Source organism: Homo sapiens, chromosome 11, assembly GCF_000001405.40.
Source record: "Homo sapiens chromosome 11, GRCh38.p14 Primary Assembly".
NCBI lineage: Eukaryota > Metazoa > Chordata > Mammalia > Primates > Hominidae > Homo > Homo sapiens.
Genome location: NC_000011.10, coordinates 103830490 through 103854564, shown reverse-complemented (window position 1 = coordinate 103854564; position 24075 = coordinate 103830490). Strand labels below are relative to the sequence as shown.

At 38.2% G+C, this 24075-nt stretch overlaps 1 long non-coding RNA gene and 1 other non-coding gene across 4 annotated transcripts; one reads left to right on the top strand and one right to left on the bottom strand.

Annotated features, from left to right (window-relative positions):
• Positions 1-4584: 4584 nt before the first annotated feature.
• Positions 4585-4659, bottom strand: MIR4693 (microRNA 4693). Its single transcript, NR_039842.1, has one exon. It is a non-coding gene; the product is annotated as a microRNA 4693 (primary transcript).
• Positions 4660-5013: 354 nt separating this feature from the next.
• On the top strand, positions 5014-15762 carry LOC102723862 (uncharacterized). 3 transcript variants are annotated; one of them, XR_001748346.2, is made up of 4 exons: positions 5014-5151; positions 6438-6621; positions 10039-10113; positions 10636-15762. It is a non-coding gene; the product is annotated as an uncharacterized LOC102723862 (long non-coding RNA). The 3 variants fall into 3 exon arrangements; XR_001748345.2 differs by lacking the exon at positions 10039-10113; XR_001748344.2 differs by having other exon boundaries at positions 10039-15762.
• Positions 15763-24075: the final 8313 nt, after the last annotated feature.

Sequence of the window (24075 nt, the reverse complement as noted above, 5' to 3'; positions counted from 1 at the left end):
TTATGTCCTTTGCAGGGATATGGATGGAGCTGGAAATCATTATCCTCAGCAAACTAATTCAGGAACAGAAAACCAAACACCACATGTTCTTGCTTATAAGTGGGAGCTGAACAATAAGAACACATGGACACAGGGAGGGGAACAATACACACTGGGGCCTGTTGAAGGGGGTTGGGGGAGGGAGAGCATCAGGAAAAATAGCTTGTGTGTAATGGGAGACCATAAGTGGTGTCTACGGAAGGGGATGTCATGTTTAAGAAGGATAATCTTGGCAAAGGAAATTTACTTTTATGAATTTCATTCATAAAAGGGCATGTTTAATTTACTCTATAGAAGCCAAAATGCTTTGTCAGGCAGCTACTCTAAGATGAGATAGTCAAGTGGTTGGAACCTCCAGTAGAGAAAACCTTTACCCATGTATCATGTCATCAATGAAACTTAAGTTTTACATTAGGCGAACCTGTGGCGCGGTGAAAAGTATACTGGTCTAAGAGGAGGAATCTGAGTTGAAGTCCTAGCTCTGCTATTTATTCCCTATGTAACTGGGATTAAGTCACTTAAACTTTCTGGGTCTCAGATTTCTTAGCTATAAAATGAAGATAAAACTTGTCCTATAACACTTAGCTATTGTGTGTAAATGAAATAATCATGTGAATATACTTGAAAAGTGGTACATAAATGAAGATGTGTGTATATGCTCTGATTTCTAGCTCATTATCAGATAAATCACATAGCCCCTCATTTGGTTTTCCAAGGATCCTCTGGTCAACAAAAGGTTTGCTGAGAGATAAAGACTAATTCCTTCCTTTGTAAAATTTACAAAATTGTCCCAAAGCGTTTCTTAGCAAAAAGAGATGGTAGTTAGTTCACTATTCACTGTAAATTCTCTTGATTTCTATAGAGTGGCCATATTTTACCCATTTTTCCTTCTATTCCTTTCACCTTGGAATCTTCTATAATACCGAGGATTGTTCTAACCACGTGACTCAAATAGGATCTGCTATAAGGACTGAACAGGTGATTGTATGTGACAAAAACTAGGTATCAAAATTGTTCTCTGCAGTATGTCAAATTTGAACCAAGGAGCAGGAGTTCCTTCCTTTAGATGACATTTGCTGTTGCTGGAGCATTATGAAAATAGTGGTCTACAATAGATAAAATGCAGCCAACATACAGAGCGAATCAAATGCAGTTGATGGAAAAAGCTTCTGCAGTGGTGCCTAGAACCACACGTGACTAAAGCCATATTCATCTTCCCTTTCCTGTGATTTGATTTACAAACGTATACGTTCTTCTAGCCTTAATCTCACTGATGTCAATTTCCACCATTTACAAATTTTAAAAAAGTCCATCACACATTATGAGTTGTATTTTATTTTAGTGGACACTTACTTGCTGTTGTATTTTGAGCAAGTATGGTAATTTTAAAACATGGCCCCAAAATATTTTGACATTCCTTTCATCAAAAGATAGCTTTTATGTCCCTTTCCCTGAAGTCTTGGTGGGCTTCTAATTACTTCAACCGATAGAGTATGGAGGAAGCGATGCTGTGTAATTCCTGATGCTGCTCAGAAGGGTCAGGTCATTTCTACTTGATCTTGTGCAACACTTTATCTGGAGAGGCTGTCCATCATATAAGAAGTAGGGCTATCTTAAGACCACCATGCTATAGAGGCTACATGTAGGTATTCTGGTCAACAGTCCCCTGAGAGGTCCCAGTTGACAGCCAGTCACATCTGCCAGTCATTAAGTGAACCATCTTGAAAGTCCAGCCCAGTCTAGACTTCCAAGGACTGAAGACCCAGTGGCTACTACCAACAAATTGACTATGAGTGAGAACTGCAAGTTCTTTTCCTGACCAAATACTCTGGGTGACATAGAAAAAAGAAAAACAAAGTTCTTTAAAATCCCTAAGTTTGGAGGCAAATTCTTATGCAGAGTGACAAGTTACTTAAAAGCTTTGAGGATTTTGGAGATCATCTATAAAATTGAGGTAACATTCCTCTTTAGAGTCAATTTAAGAAATTAATGAGATGGAACCTGAAAGGTACCTCACAGTGTATCTCTCTGTCACGGACTCTCAATAAATATCCCTCTCCTTACCTTCCTCCCAGTGAGATTATCTAAATAAAAGGGATTTTATAGACTGTAGGAAGTTTTTCCAATATTTATTATTGTCTTCCTGGACCCATTGTCCAAAAAATATATTCCCAGAAAACCCAGTCAGTCACTGGTCTGAGGCATACTCAGAAGCTTTCTCTTATTGTTGGATCATTTATCCATAGCCTTTCTTCAGTGTCCACAAGTTCTTAGTGACCATCATGTTTACACTAATGTTCCATTTCTTTCTTCTGTAGGGAGTACTTAAAGACAGAGATGATGTTTTGCAAAATAATCATTTAGTTCTATAAGTAGATCAACAAGTCATAAATGCTTGTTGAAGTTCAAGGGTAGATATTTGAATTTTCCATGGTAGGAGTAAATCATGTACCTCATTAGAATCAAGAACATGGTTGTTTTGTTCCCTACATGCTGTCTTCTTGTTCTACCAGTTTATGATAATTTTGTTTTGTTTTGTTTGTTTTTGTGTAAAGTGATGTCAAAAGAAGCTATCATGATTTCTCTTTGCTATCAAGTTAAAAGGAGAAGGGTTCAAGGCTTCTGATGAGAAAATCACATCAGCCAGAGAAACTGACAGTAATCGGAACAACTCCTTTCTCAAGTAAAAAAAGCCTTAGATTTTAAAAAGAAAAAGAAATGAGAAAGAATGTATGTAAGTAGACAAAGATAATGAAACCTTTCTCAGCTGTCTCTAACTCATGGACACGTCAAGAAATTAAGAGACATTTCATGATGAGCTGGAGTATTAGGACTATATTTGCTGAATTTATTTTTTCATGGTTCAATGATGAAACAGTAAATTCCACAAATAGATTTCAAGTTTGGTCAAGCATTTTGGCTTTTGAACATTAATCTCCTGAGCAGTGAGCTCTGTACATGCCTGGGAAGGTTCAACACAACAATGACATGTGACAGCCAAACATCCAAGCACTGAGCAATTTAGATTCTCATATCACCAAATGGGATTTTGTGGGTGGAGGAGAAGGAAGGACCCGAAGTTATTTTGCTGTTATTCTGTTACAGCTCTTTCTTCTCTGTGTTGATGCTGCCAAAAGCTATGCTGGCAGCACACTGGATTTTCAGTGTTTATATTAACTCGTCTTAATCAAGGAATCCTGACTTAACCTTATTCTTTCTCACAGACACAGTTCAATGCTGCAATGGAGCCTGTGGTGAGCACTGATTCAATAGGTGGTTTGCCTCCTTAGACGCAGAATCACAGGACTAGAAGGAGTGAAAACAACACTTTATCTCTACATTGGCTTCAGGGAGGACAGTGCCCAAACCACCTCAAGTACAGAATAATTTACTCTCATTTAGAAGATCTCCAGACAGAGCTCGAATGGCTCCCTTGGCAACAAATTTTAGTTTTAACAATCTTTGTAGCTTTATCCTTCCCTCCAGATAATGCCATAACTGTGTACTCTAGATTAAACGTTTTCTCCTTTTCTGCCCACAGTGCTTTTGAAGCCAAACATGATTTCACATATAGTGTTGGGTCATCATTAAGTCACCTTTCAGAAGTCCCTCTAAATTAAGGAGTCCTCATCCTTTCCTTAAATTTTTCATGTGTCCTGACCTATGAGAATCTGTTATACGCATGTTTAATTTCTATGGAATACCTCATCATACAACTTGAAATTCTGATTGACTAGTGGTTTTTTTCCTGCATAAGTGCTACTTCATCTATGCCTCAGTAACAAACAACAACAATCACTTAATGGAAATGGTGGCAGGCAGAATTCTAAGATAGCTGCCAGATTCCTGCCGCCCCTGGTGTGCATTCCTTGATAATCACTCTCCTTTGAGTGCAGGCAGACCTGTGTGTATGATACCACTGCTATGATTACATTGCTCATCAGGCGACTGTGAGCTAGCCAAAATGGAGAATATTCTGGTGGGTCTGACCTAGCCAGGTGAGCCCGTTTCTGAGTCATAGAGATTGAAAGTGTGAGAGGGATTTGATGTGAGGGGGAATTCTCTGTTGCTGGTTTTGAGTATAAAAGGGGCCATATAATAAAGACTTGAGAGTGGTCACTAGTTGCTGAGATCCATCCCTAATTGAAGCTAGCAAGAAACACTTCTACCAACAACTTGAAGGAATTTGGAAAAGAATCCTTCCCTAGTCAAGTCTCTAGAGGGGAATGCAGCTAACTGACACCTTGATTTCAGCCTCGTGAGACCCTGAACAGAGATATCAACCACTCAGTTGCCTGGACCTCTGACAGAAATGAAAGATAATAAATGTCTGTTGTTTTAAGCCACTAAGTTTATGGAAATTTGTTACACAGCAATGGAAAACCAATATAGGCCCCTATCCATGAGTTACATTGTAGTAAACACCTTTCCTACATTATAGATATCTCATCTAACTCCTACAGCAACCCTTGAGGTAATCACTGTGTCCATTGTCAGAGCAAGAAAACTGAAGCTCGGCTTCATAAACAGAAGCAGCAAGGATTGATTCCTTAAATACTGTGAATTCCACTCTCACTTTATTTGAATTTGTGACAGTGAAATTCACAGTATTCTTTAAACATTTTACCCCCAAGCGATGCTCTTTCCTCTGAATTGCTTTGCCTGTCCTAATAATTTTATTTATACAGGCTGATGCTGGTGACTTGGGAATAGTATTTTTATCCAAACCATTTGGCTTCTTATAGGTATGAGCCACTGAGGGAGCTATTTTTTATTTAATTGTGCTTTGGAAAAATCAAACGTAGCCTTGAGTTTTAAAATTATTAAGCTTACACTTTTTCACAAAATAGAAATGGAGTAATATAGCTCTGTCCTTCCGTTTTTTAAAGCCAAAAAATGTAAGAATGGAATGTACTGGCTCACTGCTCCCACGGTGTCCTTACCAGCACAACTTACCCCATCCCTCCCTAGCCCACTCTTGAGGATACTTTCTTGCCACTGTCAGGCTTACTCCTGCCTCCTAGACTGAGGAAAGAAAAGCCTCCTGGTTTGGAGCTCATAATCAAGTCAGCCTTGCTGCAGGGCTCATTTTAAGCCAGTATCCTGGACCAGGTGAGTCTTTTTATTCATCTCTGCTTTGTATCCAAGTTCCATTTATCAGGTTACTAACTGGCCCCATCATGCATTCCTTCAGTAATTACTTTATTTTTAGCACTGCCAAGAAAGCAAGTCTTTTCCTACAAAAACACAGGATTTCCAGTGGGGTTAAATAAATGTGCCTATGTTCTCACTTGAGACAGCAAAAAGGGAAGGAGCGAAAATTGTGGAAAGAATTGAAGACAGAGGGTAGAGGGTAGGGTGCCAAGTGTGGGGGAAAACTGAATTATGAATATTAAGGAAAAATGAAAAATAATATTAAACTGAAATGGAGAGAAATAATATAAGTGAGAATAGAAAAACATAAAACAACCTTCCCCAAAACAAAGGATAAAGAAAAAAGAATTCAGGGGAAGCTGTAAATATCTAAGACATAGCAGCAAGGGCCTGGGAATACTTATAGTGTTTGAAGTTCTGAGCTTTATTTCGCTGCAGTGAGGATCTTAAAGATGCTTAAACATATGAATAAGCAACAAAGTAATGTGACCGTTCAGCTACAGGAAAGGGGTCCCAATCCAGGATCCAGACCCCAAGAGAAGGTTCTTGGATCTCTCACAAGAAAGAGTTCAGGGCGAGTCCATAGAGTAAAGTGAAAGCAAGTTTCTTAAGAAAGTAAAGAAATAAAAGAATGGCTACTCCATAGACTGCATCCACGACGGCTGCTGGTTGCCCATTTTTATGGTTATTTCTTGATGATATGCTAAACAAGGGATGGATTATTGATGCCCTCCCTTTTTAGGCCATATAGGGTAACTTGCCATGGCATTTGTAAACTGTCATGACGCTGGTGGGAGTGTAGCAGTGAGGACGACCAGAGGACACTTTCATTGCCATCTTGGTTTTGGTGGGTTTTAGCCATCTCCTTTACTGCAATCTGTTTTATCAGCAAGGTCTTTATGACCTTTATCTTGTGCCGACCTCCTATCTCATCCTGTGACTTAGAATGCCTTAACCATCTGGGAATGCAACCCAGTAGGTTTCAACCATATTTAACCAGCTTCTATTCAAGATGGAGTTGCTCTGGTTCAAACGCCTCTGACAGTTTTCAGAGATTATTGTCAATTCAGGAGTCAAATCATTAGAGACTTTACAAAAAATCAGATGAGGGTAATAAAACTTATGATAATATAATATTGACATTTTAACACTAGGTATAAATATTGTTCTAAGCATTTTAACTAATTTAATCCTGAAAAAAAAAGTCCTCTATAGTTATTACTATTTTTATGCCTATTTTACAGATAAGGAAGCTGAAGCTTTGAGAATTTAATTTGCTCAAGGGGAGGCCAGGACAAGAAATAATGAAGAGTCCGATGTGGCAGGAATGTAGGAAACAAGTCAATGATGGAAGATAAATATGGAGACGTGATGAAGGCAAAATTCTGAAGGGTCTTAGAGCCCATTATAAGACGTTTGGTTTTTATGGTTAGTGAGAAGGAAAACCATTGGGGGTGGTTGGGCAGAAGAGTAATATGACTTGACTTATATTAAAAAAATAATTTGGTGGCTAGGTTGAGAATATATGTAAGCAGGAGTGGGGTTGGGGGTGAGTGGCTGGGGCTGTTTATATCAAGGGTGGATCCAGGCAGACCAGGCAGGAAGGCATTGCAATAATCCAAGCAAAGGGAGAGGGTGTCTTGGTCACTAAACTGATGCCAGATATGAATTAGCTATACTAGAAGATAGTGAGAGATGGTACATAAAATCATACACATTTATTGCAACTGTATGTATTCCTTAATTACAATTTACTACATATAGACTAATCTAGATGAGCGCTTTCTAGGTACTCTTTAGTAAATTCATAGTCAACTCATAATAATGAATATGGTGGTCATTTTTTACAAAGCAACTTCCTGTGCATTACTTTGAAAACAATCCAATAAGGTATATGTGGCAAATACTACTCCTGCAATTTAACATGAAAAAAACAGACTTGGTGAACTTAGAGCTTGGCTTACCAGTATAATATCAACTATACGTCCTTTCTCCACTGAACTCAACTTCCTAACTAAGCTTGTGCCAAGGGGCATTTCAAGATAAAAATGAAAAAAGAGGCTACATCTTCCAGGATAAAGACTTTGGTCTGAAAGTAACATGTGCATTAAAAGTTCAACTTTGATAAAAGTTACAAATCACTATACAGAAGACCTATTAAATGAAATAGACCCCAAATAAACACAACAAAGGCTTTTCTTTTGTAAGATGATTTTAAGTTAAAATACTGAAGAACCTTTTGAGAAAGTGCTCAGAACATTTCCTCTGCTCACTGCAGCTGCAAGAATCAGCACAAACATCCACATCCTATTAGCTTTGATTTCCAACTCATGGAAACCCAACCTGTCGGTTTTTCTCTTTTTTCCCAATACATAGTGACATTAACTCAGCCTTTTCTTCAGAAGTCTTCTTTTCTTGGCTGTTAAATAGATTATCACCTCTCTCATGACAAGGCCAAGAATCAGGTGAGGCACTCATCTTGAGCACAAAATTTAAGGGGGAAAAACTCAATGATCAAGACAATATTTTAATGTGATTTTTAAAAAACCAAAATCCATAGAAGAATATCACAGGCTAGGCGTGCTTGCTCCTGCCTGTAATCCCAGCACTTTGGGAGGCTGAGGTGGGCGGATCACTTTAGGTCAGGAGTTCAAGACCAGCCTGGCCAACACGGCAAAACCCCCATATTTAATAAATATACAAAAATTAGCTGGGTGTGGTGGCATGCACCTGTAATCCCAGCTACTCGGGAGGCTGAGGCAGTAGAATGGCTTGAACCTGAGAGGCGGAGCTTGCAGTGAGCTGAAATCAGGTCACTGCACTCCAGCCTGGGCAACAGAGTGAAAGTGTGTCAAGAAAGAAAGAAAGAAAGAAGGAAGGAAGGAAGGAAAGAAAGAAAGGGAAAGAGAAAGAAAGAAGAAAGAAAGAGAAAGAAAAAGGAAGAAAGAAGAAAGAAAGAGAAAGAAAAAGAAAGAAAGAGAAAGAAAAAAGAAAGAAGGAAAGAAAGAGAGAGAGGGAGGGAAGGAGGGAAGGAGGGAGGGAGGAAGGAAGGGAGGAAGGGAGGGAGGGCGGAAGGAAGGAAGGGAGGAAGGAGTCACAATTTTAAAGACAGTGTCAGTGTTACTGAATAACCTTTTGCCTCAAGTTCCAATAGGGCTGAGTACAACACTGGAAAGTGATATTTCCTTCTGATGTTTTATGTTTCAATATTCTTTCTGCATGTATATTCAGTAGACGCTATAGGTAGTTTATCTCAGGTGAGGCTGAAATATAAAGAGAATAAGAATGGAGATAGGGCAAATCTTGTGTCTTACAGAATATATTGGCCACTCCATGTTTTTCCTTTAATATGTTACAATTCTCTAAAGCATCACAAAATGAAACCTGTCATCATCTTAATCTCTGTTACACAGAGCAAACACCAAGCAGGCATGACCACGCCCTCCCTACACTGGTAGTTGAGATGCTGCAATGCAGCATATTAAAAAATAGTGCTGACTTGTATGGCACCACTTTGCTTATGCTCTGAATGCTGGAAGTAAATGCTGACTATCTGGAGATAATAATAATATGACTTTTGAATAAGCAAGGCACAAACAGCAATTATACAGTTAACACAAGCTATGACTGTCAAGCAATTGTTATGCTTAGCACAATTGCTTGAACCATTAATTAGAGTACAGCATTTCCTCTTGAGATAATGCTGATTAAAATGTACATACACTCTTCTGGAAGATAACTTCAGGGTTGACGTGAAAACAGCAAAGACAGATTTCAAATAAATACCTTTGCAACAAAGGTATTTTGTACAGAGGGGAATGCTTGTCTCCCTGCCCTGTTGAGAGCTGATTATCACAGGGTCATTTTGTGGTTGGCTGGGCAAGTTTTCCAGAAAGATAAAAGAGATGAAGAATGAGGATAGGAGTCAACTAAATTCTTAGCAGCTAACAAACAATTTTCTTTGGAGTTGACTTTCTCTTTAATCTTTTGTAATTGCAGATACATAATTCAATGTGCTTTTATAAAATATACATGCCATTTTCCCTGTAAACAGGTATGAGAGCTGACCTCAGCAATTAGCAAAATCCTCATACACACTGATTTAACCGACCCAGTGTGCATCCAGAAACCACTGCAGCATGAGTTTGCGGGGACTTTGGGGTCTTTAAATACTCATTAAACATTACAACTAGCTAGGACTCTTTTGGGGGACCAATGGAGGCGCTTTGCTGAGCTGCTCCCTGATGTTGTAAAATGCAAAAAGTGAGTAAGCAGTCACAGTGCACCCTGCTTCCTTATAGTATAGGGCCTCGCCCTTCAAACTGTCATCTGAGGACCAGCAGTATCAACATCCCCACAGAGCTTGTTAGAACTGCAGACTTGCAGGCCCTACTCTAGATCTATTGCATCACAATTTGCATTTTAACTAGATCTCCATGTAATTATTATGCACATTATAGTTCAAGAAGTACTGGCCTAAGAACATTTTGCTCACAAATCTGGGCTTAGAAAGCCATCCTTGTGACTGGAGGAAAATATCGAAAGAGTGACATGATCTGAAACTGGAAACAAATGCAAAGCAGGTGTGAGCCATTAGAAATGCAGCAGCCCTTCAGCTCGGCAAGGAGATTACAAGGCTGTATAGTTAATGGGTAGGTAACTTAGTAAATAGGAGACTTTGTTGTAGATAAAATCATTGTTAGGTATTTGGAAATTATGAGGAATAATATATATAATGCCCTAGGGGTGAGTAGGGGTGATTGCTGGAAGTCTCTTACAGACTGAGCAGGTAAGAAGAAGAAAGGAGAAGAAACCTTCTTCTGGTTTTTGTGTTTGTGGCTGCAGACTATGCCGTGCAAGACTTGGTAAACTGGTCCCTACCGCAGAGGATTTTATACAGAGCACGCTAGTGGCTCACAGGTAGTGTCTTATTGAATGTTGAATTTCCACACTTTTGACTGCATGAATCAGTAAATACTTGGGTTTATTTTGCCACATAGAGGTCTACATTGGTTTGATACAAGTAAATAGCAATAATGATAAGAGTCACTGCCATTAATGGAGTGTCTCCTTGATACCAGACACTGTCTCAGATAACTTGAATTAACTCTTTAAACCCACATGGCCCTGGTCCTGAAAGGTGGTATTATTCATTTTTATAGATGAGGAAACTGAGACACAGGCAACACTACTTCAACATTGGCCCCAAACCATTTTTATTTGCCCTGAGTAATTTGCTAGTTCTCCTCTTTCAGTATGCCAGTCTTCTCTATCCATTGGTCTATAGTTGGTTGCAATTCGTCTTTGTCACCTGTTCCTGACACTGACCAATTACTGACCATATCTCCCTATTCTCTGCCATGTGATAACCTTTGGTTCTCCCAAATAAACTCTTTCCTTATCTCTACTCTATTGAAACCAACCACCCCTCTCTCCACACAGAATATTTCACTGATTGCCTTGCCCGCTTCTCAAAGGCCCACTTCTCTGTGGAATGATGCAGTTGCTAAGAAGAGCTGTTAATGTCATGACCTCAATGAATAAAAAAGACTTCCTTTTCTCCATGCCCACTCAAGTAAAAGGCTTCTCTCTGAACTCCTGCTAATTTTTCATCAGCAAAGGTGCACAGCCTTTTGGAAGTGAAATGATTACTAGTGAAGAAAAAGAAAGAACCTAACACTTATTTTACAGTAAGTAGCAAGTTGATCTCCATTAGGGTCAACCCTCTGGGGTGCTCTGGCCCTTCCCTTTATGTTCTGAGACAGATACATCCCTGAGAAAATTCTAGTCTCTTCTAATCCTGGAATAATTTAGGGAAGCAAGTCTTGAACTTCTTCCATCAAAGCCCAAGAAGTAACCATAAAAGATGTCTTAAGGGTTCTAGAAACACATCACCAAGGGGATTGGATAAAAATGTGAAATTTGTTTAAAACCTGAAATGTTCACTTTTAAAAAGCATGCAAATTGTGACTACCCTTCCACAATGTATTTGTTTTACTGCAAAAATAATTTAAATGTCTTTCAGATTAAATTATGAAAATATTTACCTCCAAATTTTGGCATGAAGTTAAAACTCCTGGATAATGTGCTATGTTTATTCTGTGGGTTTTTATATCCCTGGCACACTGCCATGTATCTTGCCGAATAGCCAAATATTAGGATATTATACTACCCTGATGATTTTGCTAAATAATTATTATGCCAAACAAGACAGTAATTCAAAGAAGGACAAGTGTCTGAACTCTTGTTCTTTCAGAAAGCTTAAGAGTAGTAGTGAGTGCATCTGCTGCGTGACTCCTGCAATCTCAGCATCTGTTTCTAGTTAGAGAGCCAGTGAGTAAATTGAATCAGGGTCACTGAAGCAGGTGTTCTTGGTGAATTGCAGAGCCTCCCAGTGACCACTCTTCAGACAAAACTTCTTATAATAGCTTCCTTCCCTGAATCTTTTGCGAAACATCAAATCACAAAGAGATCTTATTGTGAGTATTACCTAAAATTTTTTCCTGTCTTATGTAGCAAAGAGGGAAGTCACTGAGTCAGCTTAGATATGTGTATGTGTTCTAAAAAAAATGAATGTATCCATGTGACTTTTTTTTCTTTTTTTTTTTTTTTTGAGATGGAGTTTTGCTCTGTCACCCAGGCTGGAGTGCAGTGGCGTGATCTCTGCTCACTGCAACCTCCACCTCCTGGGTTCAAGTGATTCTCCTGCCTCAGCTTCCCGAGTAGCCTGCCACCACACGTGGTTAATTTTGTATTTTTAGTAGAAATGGGTTTTCACCATGTTAGCCAGGCTCGTCTCAAATTTCTAACCTTCAGTGATCTGCCTACCTTGGCCTCCCAAAGAGCTGGGATTACAGGAATGAGCCACCGCACCTGGCCCCATGTGACTTTAATATTTTACTGCATATCTTCCTCGGCAAATAACTAAATCCTGTCATGTGGGAGGGAGTTTGGAAATAGTGCTTAGGAACCACCCACTATCTCATTTGTGAAGTCCGTTGCCACTTGCGGGGGGCGCCAGGCAATGACATCAACAGACTTATCTGGTTATGTCTTTGAGCCTTGGATCCTTGTAATTGTTTTGCTTGATAAAGCTATCTTTTGTTATAAAAGACTTTGCCAAAAAAAAGTCTTTGGCTTAAGGCATTTAAATAATGCAAGCTTCAAAGTTAGTGAACAGATTATGAAAAATGTCTGAATAGTAATTTGGAAGGCAATTTGCACATATATTTCTATCTGGAAGAATAATAGTTTGTAAACGAAATACATCTTAGGCCATAATTATAAGTGTCAGAACATGAAAGGATTGGTGAATTGGAGAAACAGAAATTAAAAATAAAACTTAAAAAAATAAGTCAGAATATCATAATGGTACAAAATAAATGAGACAATAGAAACATAGACATTTCCCTAATTCATAATGTAGTTATTTGTTCTGGAGATTTGTTCATTATTGTAAAAACTAGCTACATTTAATCGTTTTAATTGTTGTTATGAAAATACTTTGCTTCATTTATTTTAAATATATCCTACTAAAAAAAGAGTATATATAAAAACACATGTACAATTTAGAACATAACGTTAAAACAAACACTTACGTATTTTCCAACCAGCAAAAGGAAAAGAACCTTAATGGTGATCTTGTGTATTTGTGTCCAGATGCGTTTTTCTCCCTTTACCTGGGGTAACAATCATTGCATATTTTGTGTTTATCAATTCTTTCCTTTAGAAATGCTTATCCATTTGTGTATTTATGCCTAAACAATAGATGGTTTCATTTCGCTTGTTTTGAGCTTTATTATATTTGTTTGTAGTCACCATGGATGTAACCTTTTTCCACGCAAAATTAGCTTTCTAAGAATCATCCATGTTGGTGGATATAGCTCTGTGATATTCCATCATGTGATACTGCAAGTTATAACTCTAGTTATATATCTATTTTCCAATCAATGAATATTTACATTGATCCAAATTTTCATTATTATGCACAGTCTGGCAAGGAAGACTCATATATGACTCCTGGTACATGGGTACAAGGATTCTATAGGCTATATACCTAATCGTGGAATTGTTGAGTCTCAGAGTATTCAAATGTTCAACTTGACACATTATCATGAAACTGTTCTCCAGAGTGGCTTTCCAATTTACTCTTCCACCAAAAATGTGTTCCTATTGATCTACATCTTCTCTAGAACATCTTATTTTAGGTAATTTAATTTTTTCATTGTTATGAAATGGTATCTCACTGTCTTATGCATTTCTCTGGTTAATAATGAGATTGGTCATAAATTCATATGTTCATTGTGAAATGTCTATTCTTTTGTTGCCCATTTCATCTATTGGGATGGCTATCTTCTAACCGATTTTACATAGTTCTAGTGGTTGTTTATGCATTCTGGAAACCGGTTCTTTATTAATCATAGGTGTGGCATTATGGTTCACATTGTTACTCTCTTGCTATACTGTGATGAACAGAAGTTTTTCATTTTCATGAAGTAGACTTATCAACATTTTCTTATGTTTTAGATGTTTATTTAGAAACCCTTCTCTACAAACATTCTAATATTTTCTTTTAAAAGTTTTGAAGTTTTGACTTTTACATTTAAATTATTAATCAAATTAGAATTATCTTCCATATACATGTGAGTCCTCAATTCTTGCTCCATTAAACAATTTATCCTTCCTCGCATCAGTATCTTCCCACCTTAATTGCTATTGGATTATAATAACTCTTGATATTTGGTGTGCCAAATTCCCCCAACATATTAATCCTTTCGGATATTCTATTCTCAGCCCTTTATTTTTCCATATGAAACTCAGAATCATGAAGTTTATTTAAAATTCTGCTAGGATTTTGATAAAAATTTCCATAAAAAACTTTTCAGTTTGACATTGTTAGGACTGAGTTTTCTTATCCATGAATGTGAAATATCTGTGTTATTTTATCTGCAAAATAAAGATAAAGAAATATCTTTATTATTGTTTAATGTTTTTATGAAAAGTTCATGATTTTTTATCTAGAGGTATCACACATCTTTTTTTAGATATATTCTAGGATACTTTTTAGTTTTGTTGCTTTTGTAAGTGTTGTCATGTTGGGAGTCTCTGAGAACCTCCTCAAGCTTGATGACCCACTAGAAGGACTCTCAGGACTTAGAAGTGGTTATATTGATGGTCACAGTTTATTATAACAAAAAGACACAGATAACAATAAACAAAGAGAAAAGGCACATGGGGTGAAGTTCAGGAGAAATAAGGCACAAGCCTTCAGGTATTCCCCTCCCAGGAGTAAATATGCTAACTGAAGCACACAAAAAAAGAAAAGATAAATGCAAAAAAGAGCATAAAATATATATGACATAGTTTTAAAAATGTGTAACATGCATGTAATTGAAGTATCAGAAAGAATGGAGACAAGGAATAGGGGAAGAAGGAATATTTGAAGAGATAATAACCAAAAACTTTCTAAAACTAACCCACAAAATCAAGAAATTCTGAAGAAACTAGAAAAGATACATGCAAAATAAATCCCATTTTGGCTCATAGTGAACTCCTGAAAGCCAAGGACAAGGACCAATTACTTAAAGCACCCAAAAAAAAACAACATTGCTTTCATAATAGCAATAAAAGACTAATAACTGAATTTTCTACACAAATGATGGAAGCTGGAAGATATAAAGATCATAAGGATATATTCTATTCCTGGAATTGATGTGCCTTGGTCATAATGTCTTTTTTAAAATACAAAGTTGTAATCAGGTTTCTAAATAGTTTAAGATTTTTGCATCTAATTGTTTGGAAAGTTCCCCCTTTTTTATACTCATATCTGCATTAGCTATCAAGGCTAAAAATGACTGCTTTAAAAGAGTTAAGGAAAGTTTCCTCTTTGTTATACCTATGAAAAAGTTTATATACAATTAAAATTTGATGATAACATTTGTTATATTTTCTTATAGAACTATTTGTATTTGGTGTTCTATTTATGAGGAGGCTTTTAAAATATTGATTTGACTTCTTTAGTAGTTGTAGGGCACTGAAGTTTTCTGGTACTCTAACTGCAGCCCACGTAACTTATCTTATATTCTCATTATCATTTAGTTCTAAGTATTTTTTTACTTTCTATTATAAAGTATTCTTTGACCTAGGAGGTATTTAGAAGTTTGCTTTTAAACTGTCAAATGTATGAAATTGTCTTAATTTTCCTTTTATTACTAATAGCTACATTATTTTCCTTCTTGTGAGAGAAGGTAGTCTGTGGTACTTTTGGAAATATTTAAAGACTTTTTGGCCTAGTATGTGATAAATTTGTGAAAATGTTCCTTGCATGTCAAAAAGAATTATCCAGAATTATCCAATAATTGGATAAATGTTCTTAATATGTTTATTAGGACATTCATGTTCATTGTGTTTACAATTTCTATAACATTGCTAGTTTTGATCTGCTTTTCATGTCAATACCTGAGATAGGTCTGTTTAAATTTCTTACTATAATGGTAGATTTGTTACAATTTCATTGTAGCCTGTACATTTTTGCTTTATATATGCTGAATAAATGTTAATATGTGCCCATATAAGCTTAAACATTATAATTACTTTATCTTCCTGGAAAATTGTAATTTTCATCAATATGTGCTCACCCCCTTTTTATCTGGTAACTATTTTGACCTTGAAGTCTATGACCAGCAAGAGAAGCTTTCCTTAGCTTAGGGTTTCCAGTTGTCTTCATTTATTTTGTGCTGCTATAACAGGATAGCACAGAATGTATAATTTTTTAAACAATTATTTTAGATTCAGTGGTATATGTGCAGGTATGTTATATAGGTAAATTGTGTGACACAGGGGTTTGCTAAATACATTATTTCATCACCCATTTAATAAGCATAGTACCTGATAACTAGTTTCTTTACCTCCTCTCTCTTCCCACCATACATCCTCAAGCAGGCCCAGGTGTCTGTTGTTCCCCTGTTTGTGTCCATGTGTGCTCAATGTTTAACTCCCACTTATAACTCAGAACATGAAGTACTTTATTGTCTCTTCCTCTGTTAGTTCACATAGAATAATGGCCTCCAGATCCATCCATGCAGCCGCAAAGGACATGATCTCATTCTTTTTCTCTGCCTGTGTAGTATTCCATGGTGTATATGTACCACATTTTCTGTATCCAGTCTACCATTGACGGGCATTTAGGTTGATTCCATGTCTTTGCTCTTATGAGTAGTGCTATGATGAACATATACATATGTGTGTCCTTATGGTATTAACAGAATGATTTATATTCCTTTGGGTATATACCCAATAATGGGATTTCCGGGTGGAAGAGTAATTCTGTTTTAAGCTCTCTGGAAAACTGCTACCCTACTTTCCACAGTGGCTGAACTAGTTTATATTCCCACTATCAGTGTATAAGCATGCCTTTTTCTACACAATCTTGCCAGCATCTGGGTTTTTTTTTTTTTGACTTTTTAATAATAACCATTCTGGCTGGTGTGAGATTGTATCTCATTTTGGTTTTGATTTCCATTTCTGTGATAAATGATGTTGAACATTTTTTTATGCTTATTGGCCATGTATATATCTTCTTTTGAAAATGTTTGTTCATGTCCTTTGCCCACTTTTTTTTTATTATTTAAGTTTTAGGGTACATGTGCACAATGTGCAGGTTAGTTACATATGTATACGTGTGCCATGCTGGTGCACTGCACCCACTAACTCGTCATCTAGCATTAGGTATATCTCCTTTGCCCACTTTTCAGTGGGATTTTTTGTTTTTGCTTCTTCATTTGTTTAAGTTCCTTATAGATGCTGGATATTAGACCTTTGTAGAATATATGGTTTGCAAATATTTTCTTCCATTCTGTAGGTTGTCTGTTTACTCTGTTAATAGTTTCCTTTGCTTGCAGAAGCTTTTTAGTTTAATTAGGTCCTATTTGTCAATTTTTGGTTTTGTTGCAATTTGTTTTGTCATCTTTGTCATGAAATCTTTGCCAGGACCTCTATCCAGAATGGTATCTCCTGGATTATCTTCCAGGGTTTATATAGTTTTGAGTTTTACATTTAAGTCTTTAATCCATCTTGAGTTGATTTTTATATATGGTGTAACAAAGAGGTCCAGTTTTAGTCTCTGCATATGGTTAGCCAGTTATCCCAGCACCATCTATTGAATAGTCTAATATGGTTAGGCTTTGTGTCCCCACCCAAATCTCATTTTGAATTGTAATCCTCATAATCCCCACATGTCAAGGGAGAGACCTGGTGGGAAGTGATTAGATTATGGGGGTGGTGTCCCCCATGCTGTTCTCATGATAGCAAGTGAGTTCTCATGAGATCTGATGGTTTTATAAGTGTCTGACAGTTCCTCCTTCACACACTCGCTCTCTTGCCTGCTGCCATGTAAGATGTGCCTCTTCCCTTTCCACCATGATTGTAAATTTCCTGATACCTCCCCAGCGATGAGGAACTGTGAGTCAGTTAAACCTACTTTTTAAATAAATTATGCAGTCTTGGGTATGTCTTTATAGCAGTGTGAAAATGAACTAATACAGAGTCTTTTCTCCATTACTTGTTTTGTCAACTTTGTCGAACATCAGATAGTTGTGACATTATTTGTGGATCTGTGAAGATGAGGGGTGTGGCATTATTTGTGGACTCTGTATTCTATTTCATTGGTCTGTGTATTTGCTTTTGTACCAGTACCATGCTATTTCTATTACTGTACTCCTGTGGTACAGTAATACCTTCTGTACTCCTGTGGTACAGATTGAAGTCAGGTAATGTGATGCCTCCTGCTTTGTTCTTTTTGGTTAGGATTGCCTTTGATATTCAGGCTCTTTTTTGGTTCCATATGAATTTTAAAAGAGTTTTTTCTTTTCTTTTTTGTTTTCTTTTTTTTTTTTTTTTTTTTTTTGAGACAGAGTCTTGCTCTGTCACCCAGGCTGGAGTGCAGTGGCGTGATCTCGGCTCACTGCAAGCTCCGCCTCATGGATTCACGCCATTCTGCTGCCTCAGCCTCCCGAGTAGCTGGGACTACAGGCACCCACCATCACGCCCGGCTGATTTATTTTTTTTAGTAGAGACAAGGTTTCACTGTGTTAGCCAGGATGGTCTTGATCTCCTGATTTCGTGATCTGCCCGCCTCAGCCTCCCAAAGTAAAAGAGTTTTTTCTATTTCTGTGAAGAGTGTCATTGGTAGTTTGACAGGAAGAGCATCAAAGCTATGAATTTCTTTGTTCAGTATGGCCATTTTAACAATATTGATTCTTCCTATCCTTATGAGCATGGAATGTTTTTCCATTTGTTGGTGTCTTCTCTGATTTCTTTGAGAAGTGATTTGCAATTCTTGTTATACAGATCCTTTTGCCTCCTACTTAGCTGTATTCCTAGGTATTTTATTTTATTTGTGGCTATTGTGAATGGGATTGTGTTCTTGATTTGGCTCTCAGCTTGGATATTGTTGGTGTATTGAAATGCTACTGATTTTTGTGCATTGATTTTGTATCCTGAAACTTTGCTGAAGTTGTTTATCAGATTACGGAGCTTTTTGGCAGAGACCATGGGGTTTTTTAGGTATAAAATCATATTTTCTGCAAACAGAAATAGTTTCACTTCCTCTCGTCCTATTTGGATGCCTTTTTTATTTCTTCTCTTGCCTGAAGTTGTTTATCAGGTCAAGGAACTTTTGGGCAGAGACCACAGGGTTTTCTATGCGACTCATACTGTCTGCAAACGGGGATATTTTGACTTCCTCTCTTTCTATTTGGATGCCTTTTTAAATTTCTTCTCTTGCCTGATTGCCAGGACTTGTAGTACTATATTGAATAGGAGTGGTGAGAAAGCCATCTTGTCTTGTTCAGGTTCTCAAGGGAAATGCTTCCAGCTTTTGTTTATTCAGTATCATCATGTTGTCTGTAGGTATGTCATAGATGGATCTTATTATTTTGAGGTGTGTTCCTAGGATGGCTACTTTGTTGAGGGATTTTTAACATGAAGGAATTTTGAATATTATCAAAAGCCTTTTATGCATCTATTGAGATGATCCAGTGTGTTTTGCTTTAGTTCTGTTTAGATGATGAATCACATTTATCAATTTATTTATGTTGAACCAAACTTGCATCCCAGGGATAAAGCCTACTTGTTGATCATAGTACATTAGCTGCTGGATTCAGAATGCTAGTATTTTATTGTGGATTTTTGCCATTATCTTCATCAGAAATATTGGCCTGAAGTTTTATTTTTATTTTTTGTATTTCTGCCAGGTTTGGGTATCAGGATGATGCTGACCTCATAGAATGAGCTCAGGACCAGTCCCTCCTCAATTTTTTGGAATAGCTTCTGTAGGAATGGTACCAGCTCTTCTTTGTACATGGGGTAGAATTTGGCTATGAATACATCTGATCCTGGGCTTTTTCTGGTTGGTAGGGGTTTTTTTAATATCTAATTAAATTTTAAAACTCATTGTTGGTCTGTTTAGTTTCCATTTTTTCCTGATTTAATATTGAGAGGTTGTATGTTTCCAGGAATTTATCCATTTCTTTTAGGATTTCTAGTTTGTGTGCACAGAGGTGTTCATAGTAGTCTATGGGTTTTTTTTTTTTTTTTTGTATTTCTGTGGGGTTAGTGGTCATGTCCCATTTGTCATTTCTGATTGTGTTTATTTGGACATTCCCTCTTTTTTTCTTTATTAGTCTTGACAGTGGTTTATCATTGTTACCTATGCTTTCAAAGAACAAGCTCCTGAATTTGTTGATGTTTTGTATGTTTTTTTTTTTTTTTTATCTCAACTTCATTCAGTTCAGCTCTGATTTGGGTTATTTCTTGTCTTCTGCTGGCTTTGGGGTTGGTTTGCTCTTGTTTATTTTTCTTTAGTTACTCTAGGTGTAATGTTAGGTTGTTAATTTAATATTTTTCTAAATTTTTGATGTAGGCTTTTAGTCCTATAAACTTTCCTCTTAACATTGCTTTAGCTGTGTCTGAGAGAATCTGGTATGTTTTAGCTTTGTTCTAATTTGTTTCAAAAACTTCTTGACTTTTGCCTTAATGTCATCATTTACCCAAATGTCATTCAGAAGCTGGTCGTTTAATTTTCATATCACTTTATGGTTTTGAGCAATCTTCTTAGTATTGATTTCGATTTCTGGGGGGGGCTGTGGTCCAGGAGTGTAGTTGGTATAATTATGGACTTTGTGAACATGCTGACAATTGTATTATAACCAACTGTGTGGCTAATTTTAGAGTGTGTGCCATGTGCAGATGAGAAGAATGTATATTCTGTTGTTTTGAGGTGGAGAGTGCTGTAGATATCCTTTAGGCTCATTTGGTCAAGTGTTGAGGTCAGGTCCTGAATATCTTTGTCAGTTTTCTACTTTGACGATCTTTCTAATACATTCAGTAGGATGTTAAGTCTCCCACTGTTATTGTGTGGCCATCTAAGTCTCTGTGTAAGTCCTTGAAAATTTGATTTATGAATCTGGGTGCTTCTGTTTTGGGTGCATATATATTAAGGATAGTTAGGTCTTCTTGTTGAATTGAGCCCTTTACCATTATGAAACGCTGTTCTTTTTTTTATTGCTGTTGGTTTAAAGTCTGTTTTGTTTGAAATTAGAATAGCAACTCCTGCTTTTTTCTGTTTTCTATTTCTTTGGTAGGATTTTTCTATCCCTTTACTTTGAGCATATGGGTGTCATTGTATGAGAGATGATTCTCTTGAAGACAGCGTGCAGTTGAGTCTTGCCTCTTTATCCAACTTGCCACTCTGTGCCTTTTAACTGCAGCATTTAGCCCATTTGTCTTCAAGGTTAATGTTGATATGTGCAAATTTGATCCTGTCACCATGTTGTTAGCTGGTTATTTAGCAGGCTTAATTGTGTGATTGCTTTACAGTGGCAATGGTCTATATACTTAAGTGTGTTTATGTGGTGGCTGGTAATGGTCTTTACTTTCCATATTTAGCATTCCCTTTTGTAAGGCAGGTCTGGTGGTAACAAATTCCCTTAGCATTTGTTTATCTGGAAAGAATCTTATTTCTCCTTTGCTTATAAAGCTTAGTTTAGATGGATATAAAATTCTTGGTTGAAATTTTTTTTTTCTTATAGAATGCTGAATATGGGTCCTTGATTTCTTCTGGCTTGTAGGATTTCTGCTGAAAAGTTTGCTGTTAGCTGATAGGATTCCCTTTTTAAGTGATGTGCCTCTTCTGTCTAGATGGCTTTAATATTTTTTTCTTTTATTTTGACCTTGGAGAGTCTGATGACTATGTCTCTTGGGGATGTTCGTATTGTATAGTATCTTGCAGAAGTTCTCTGCATTTTCTGAACTTGAATCTTGGTCTCACTAGCGAGGTTGGGGAAATTTTTGTGGACAAGATCCTCAAATATGTTTTCCACGTTGCTTGGTTTCTGTCCCTCTCTTTCAGGGATGCTGATGAGTCATAGATTTGGTCTCTTTACATAATCCCATATTGCTTAGAGGTTTTGTTTATTCTTCTTTCTTTTCTTTCTTTTTTTGTCATACTGAATTACTTTGCAAAACTAGTGTTTGAGCTCTGAGATTCTTTCCTCAACTTGGTCAATTCTGCTATTGGTACTTGCAATTATATTATAAAATTCTTGAAATGAGAGTTTTAGCTCTACCAGATCAGTTTCATTCTTTCTTAAAACAGCCATTTTATCTTTTATCTCCTATATCATTTCATTGTATCCCTTAGACTGGGTTTCAGCTTTCTCCTTTATGTCAATGATCTTTATTTCTATTCATCTTCTGAATTATATTTCTGTCATTTCAGCCATTTTAGCCTGGTTAAGAACCATTGCTGGGGAACTATTGCGGTGTTTGGAGGTAAGAAGACATTCTGGCTTTTCAAGTTGCCAGAGTGCTTGCCCTAGGTCTTTCTTACCTGTGTGTGCAGATGTTCCTTCAATCTTTGAAGTTACTGTCCTTTGGATGAGGTTCCTTGCTTTTGTCTTCTTTGATACCCTTGGAAGTTTGATTGTCGTAGAAGGTGGGCTTGGTCAACTGAGTTGATGTCTGAAAGATTTTAGGAGACCAAAGCTCAGCTCAGCACTCCTGGTCTGCATTCTTTAACACAGGGCCTGGTACCAGGACCCTGGTTTTGTTCTCTTGTCCCTTGAGGTTTGGAACCAGCTGTGCTGGATGGGCTGAGATATTCCTGGTCCACTGGCCACAGCACTCTGATGGGTGCTACTGGCCAGAGTGCTTCACTGGGGTGGTGGCATCAGGATCCTTGCTCACTTTTGCATGCCAGCAACCATGGCAGTGTGGCAGGGTGCACATACATTGGCTGGGGTGGGGTAAACCAGTGGAAACAGGGCTGTGGCATTCCTGCACATTCTCATGCCAGCACTGGGGCACAGTCAGGGGCAGGTTTGCTGGTGTCTGTATTTGCACTCACACTGGCAGCAGCAGTGCAGTGGGGGTACTGGTGGGCATGGGGATTACTGGCCTCCATGTGCACATTCATGGTGGTCACAGCACGGGGTTGGGCAAGGTTACTGGTGTTCATGTGTGTGTTTACAATGGTGGTGGTGTCATCATGGGGGGAGCAGAGCCACTGGCATCTATGCACTTATTCACTCTGGTGGCAATGGCTTCAGGGGATGGGGGCAAGATTGATGGCATCTGTCTGTGTGTTCATGCTGGCATTGGCAGTGTGGCTGGGTGCCCGCGTGCCAGAATAGGTGTTTGGGGTGGCAACAGGTTGAACTCACACCAGCAGAAGTGGCACAGCAGGGTAATCATGCACATACTCCCTGGCATAGGACAAAGGTGAGGCTCACCCACGTGCAGGCATGCCAGCAAAGCAGTAGGGGGTTGGCCATGGGTGAGTACATGCCAGCAAAGCAGCATAGGAAAGATTGGGAGAGGGTGTGAGTGAGTCACTGCATGTCAGCTGGGACCAATCTGCTGGAGCTCTTAGATGGTCAGTTGTGGTCTGCAGGTAAAGAAGCTATGATGAGGGCCCCTGTGAAGCACCCTGGTTGGGCATCTAAGGCTGTCCCGCCAGTGGGCATGGCCAGGTCTGGGGCCCTAGGAGAGGCCAGTGGACAGGGGTGTGCTCAGATTGGACTGGTCCCGTCTCAAAGCCAAGACCACCCTACTCTCTCCAGGTTCAGCAGTCCCCCAATATCTAAAGTCTCCTAGAGGAATCTGGCAGGCCTTGGGTGAAGGGTATCCCTGGCTGTGCCCCACTAGAGATATTCCTGCACCAAACCCATGCAGTCTTGGGTCCTGCTCCTCCTACTTCTCTAAGCAGCTCTTCCTGCCAACTTAAGTGTCCATAGGTGTTGTGGAGTTTTCTGTTGCCCAGAGGTACATGGTGAGATCAGGCTACTCCTCACCTGTCCACCTCACCTTTTCCCCAGGAGTTCCTGGGAACCAAGAAAAAGTCCTGATGGTAGGTAGCCTGGTGCAGGGTTGTCAGCTTCCTCTCCCTTCAGCTCACATCTTCATCCTTCCTCCATTCATTTTCAATGTGGATAACTTACAATGAACAGAAATTTATTTGGCTCATGATTCTGGAGGCTGGGAAGTCCAAGGGCATGGCAGTGGCATTGGCATCTTCTCAGCATCTAGTGAGGGCCTTCTTACTGTATCATGTCACAGCAGAAGGCAGAAGGTGGAAGGGTAGAAGAGCATGCAAGAGAGAGACAGAAATGGAGTCAAACTCCTTCTTTTATCAAGAACTCACTCCTGCAATAACTAACCTACTTACATGTTAATGGCATTAATCCATTAATGAGGGCAGAACCCTCACAACCTAAAAGCTCCCATCTCTCAACACTGTTGCATTGGAGGCTAAATTCCCAGCCCATAAACTTTCAGGAACACATTCAAATCATAGCATTTCACCCTTTGCCCCTCAAATGTATG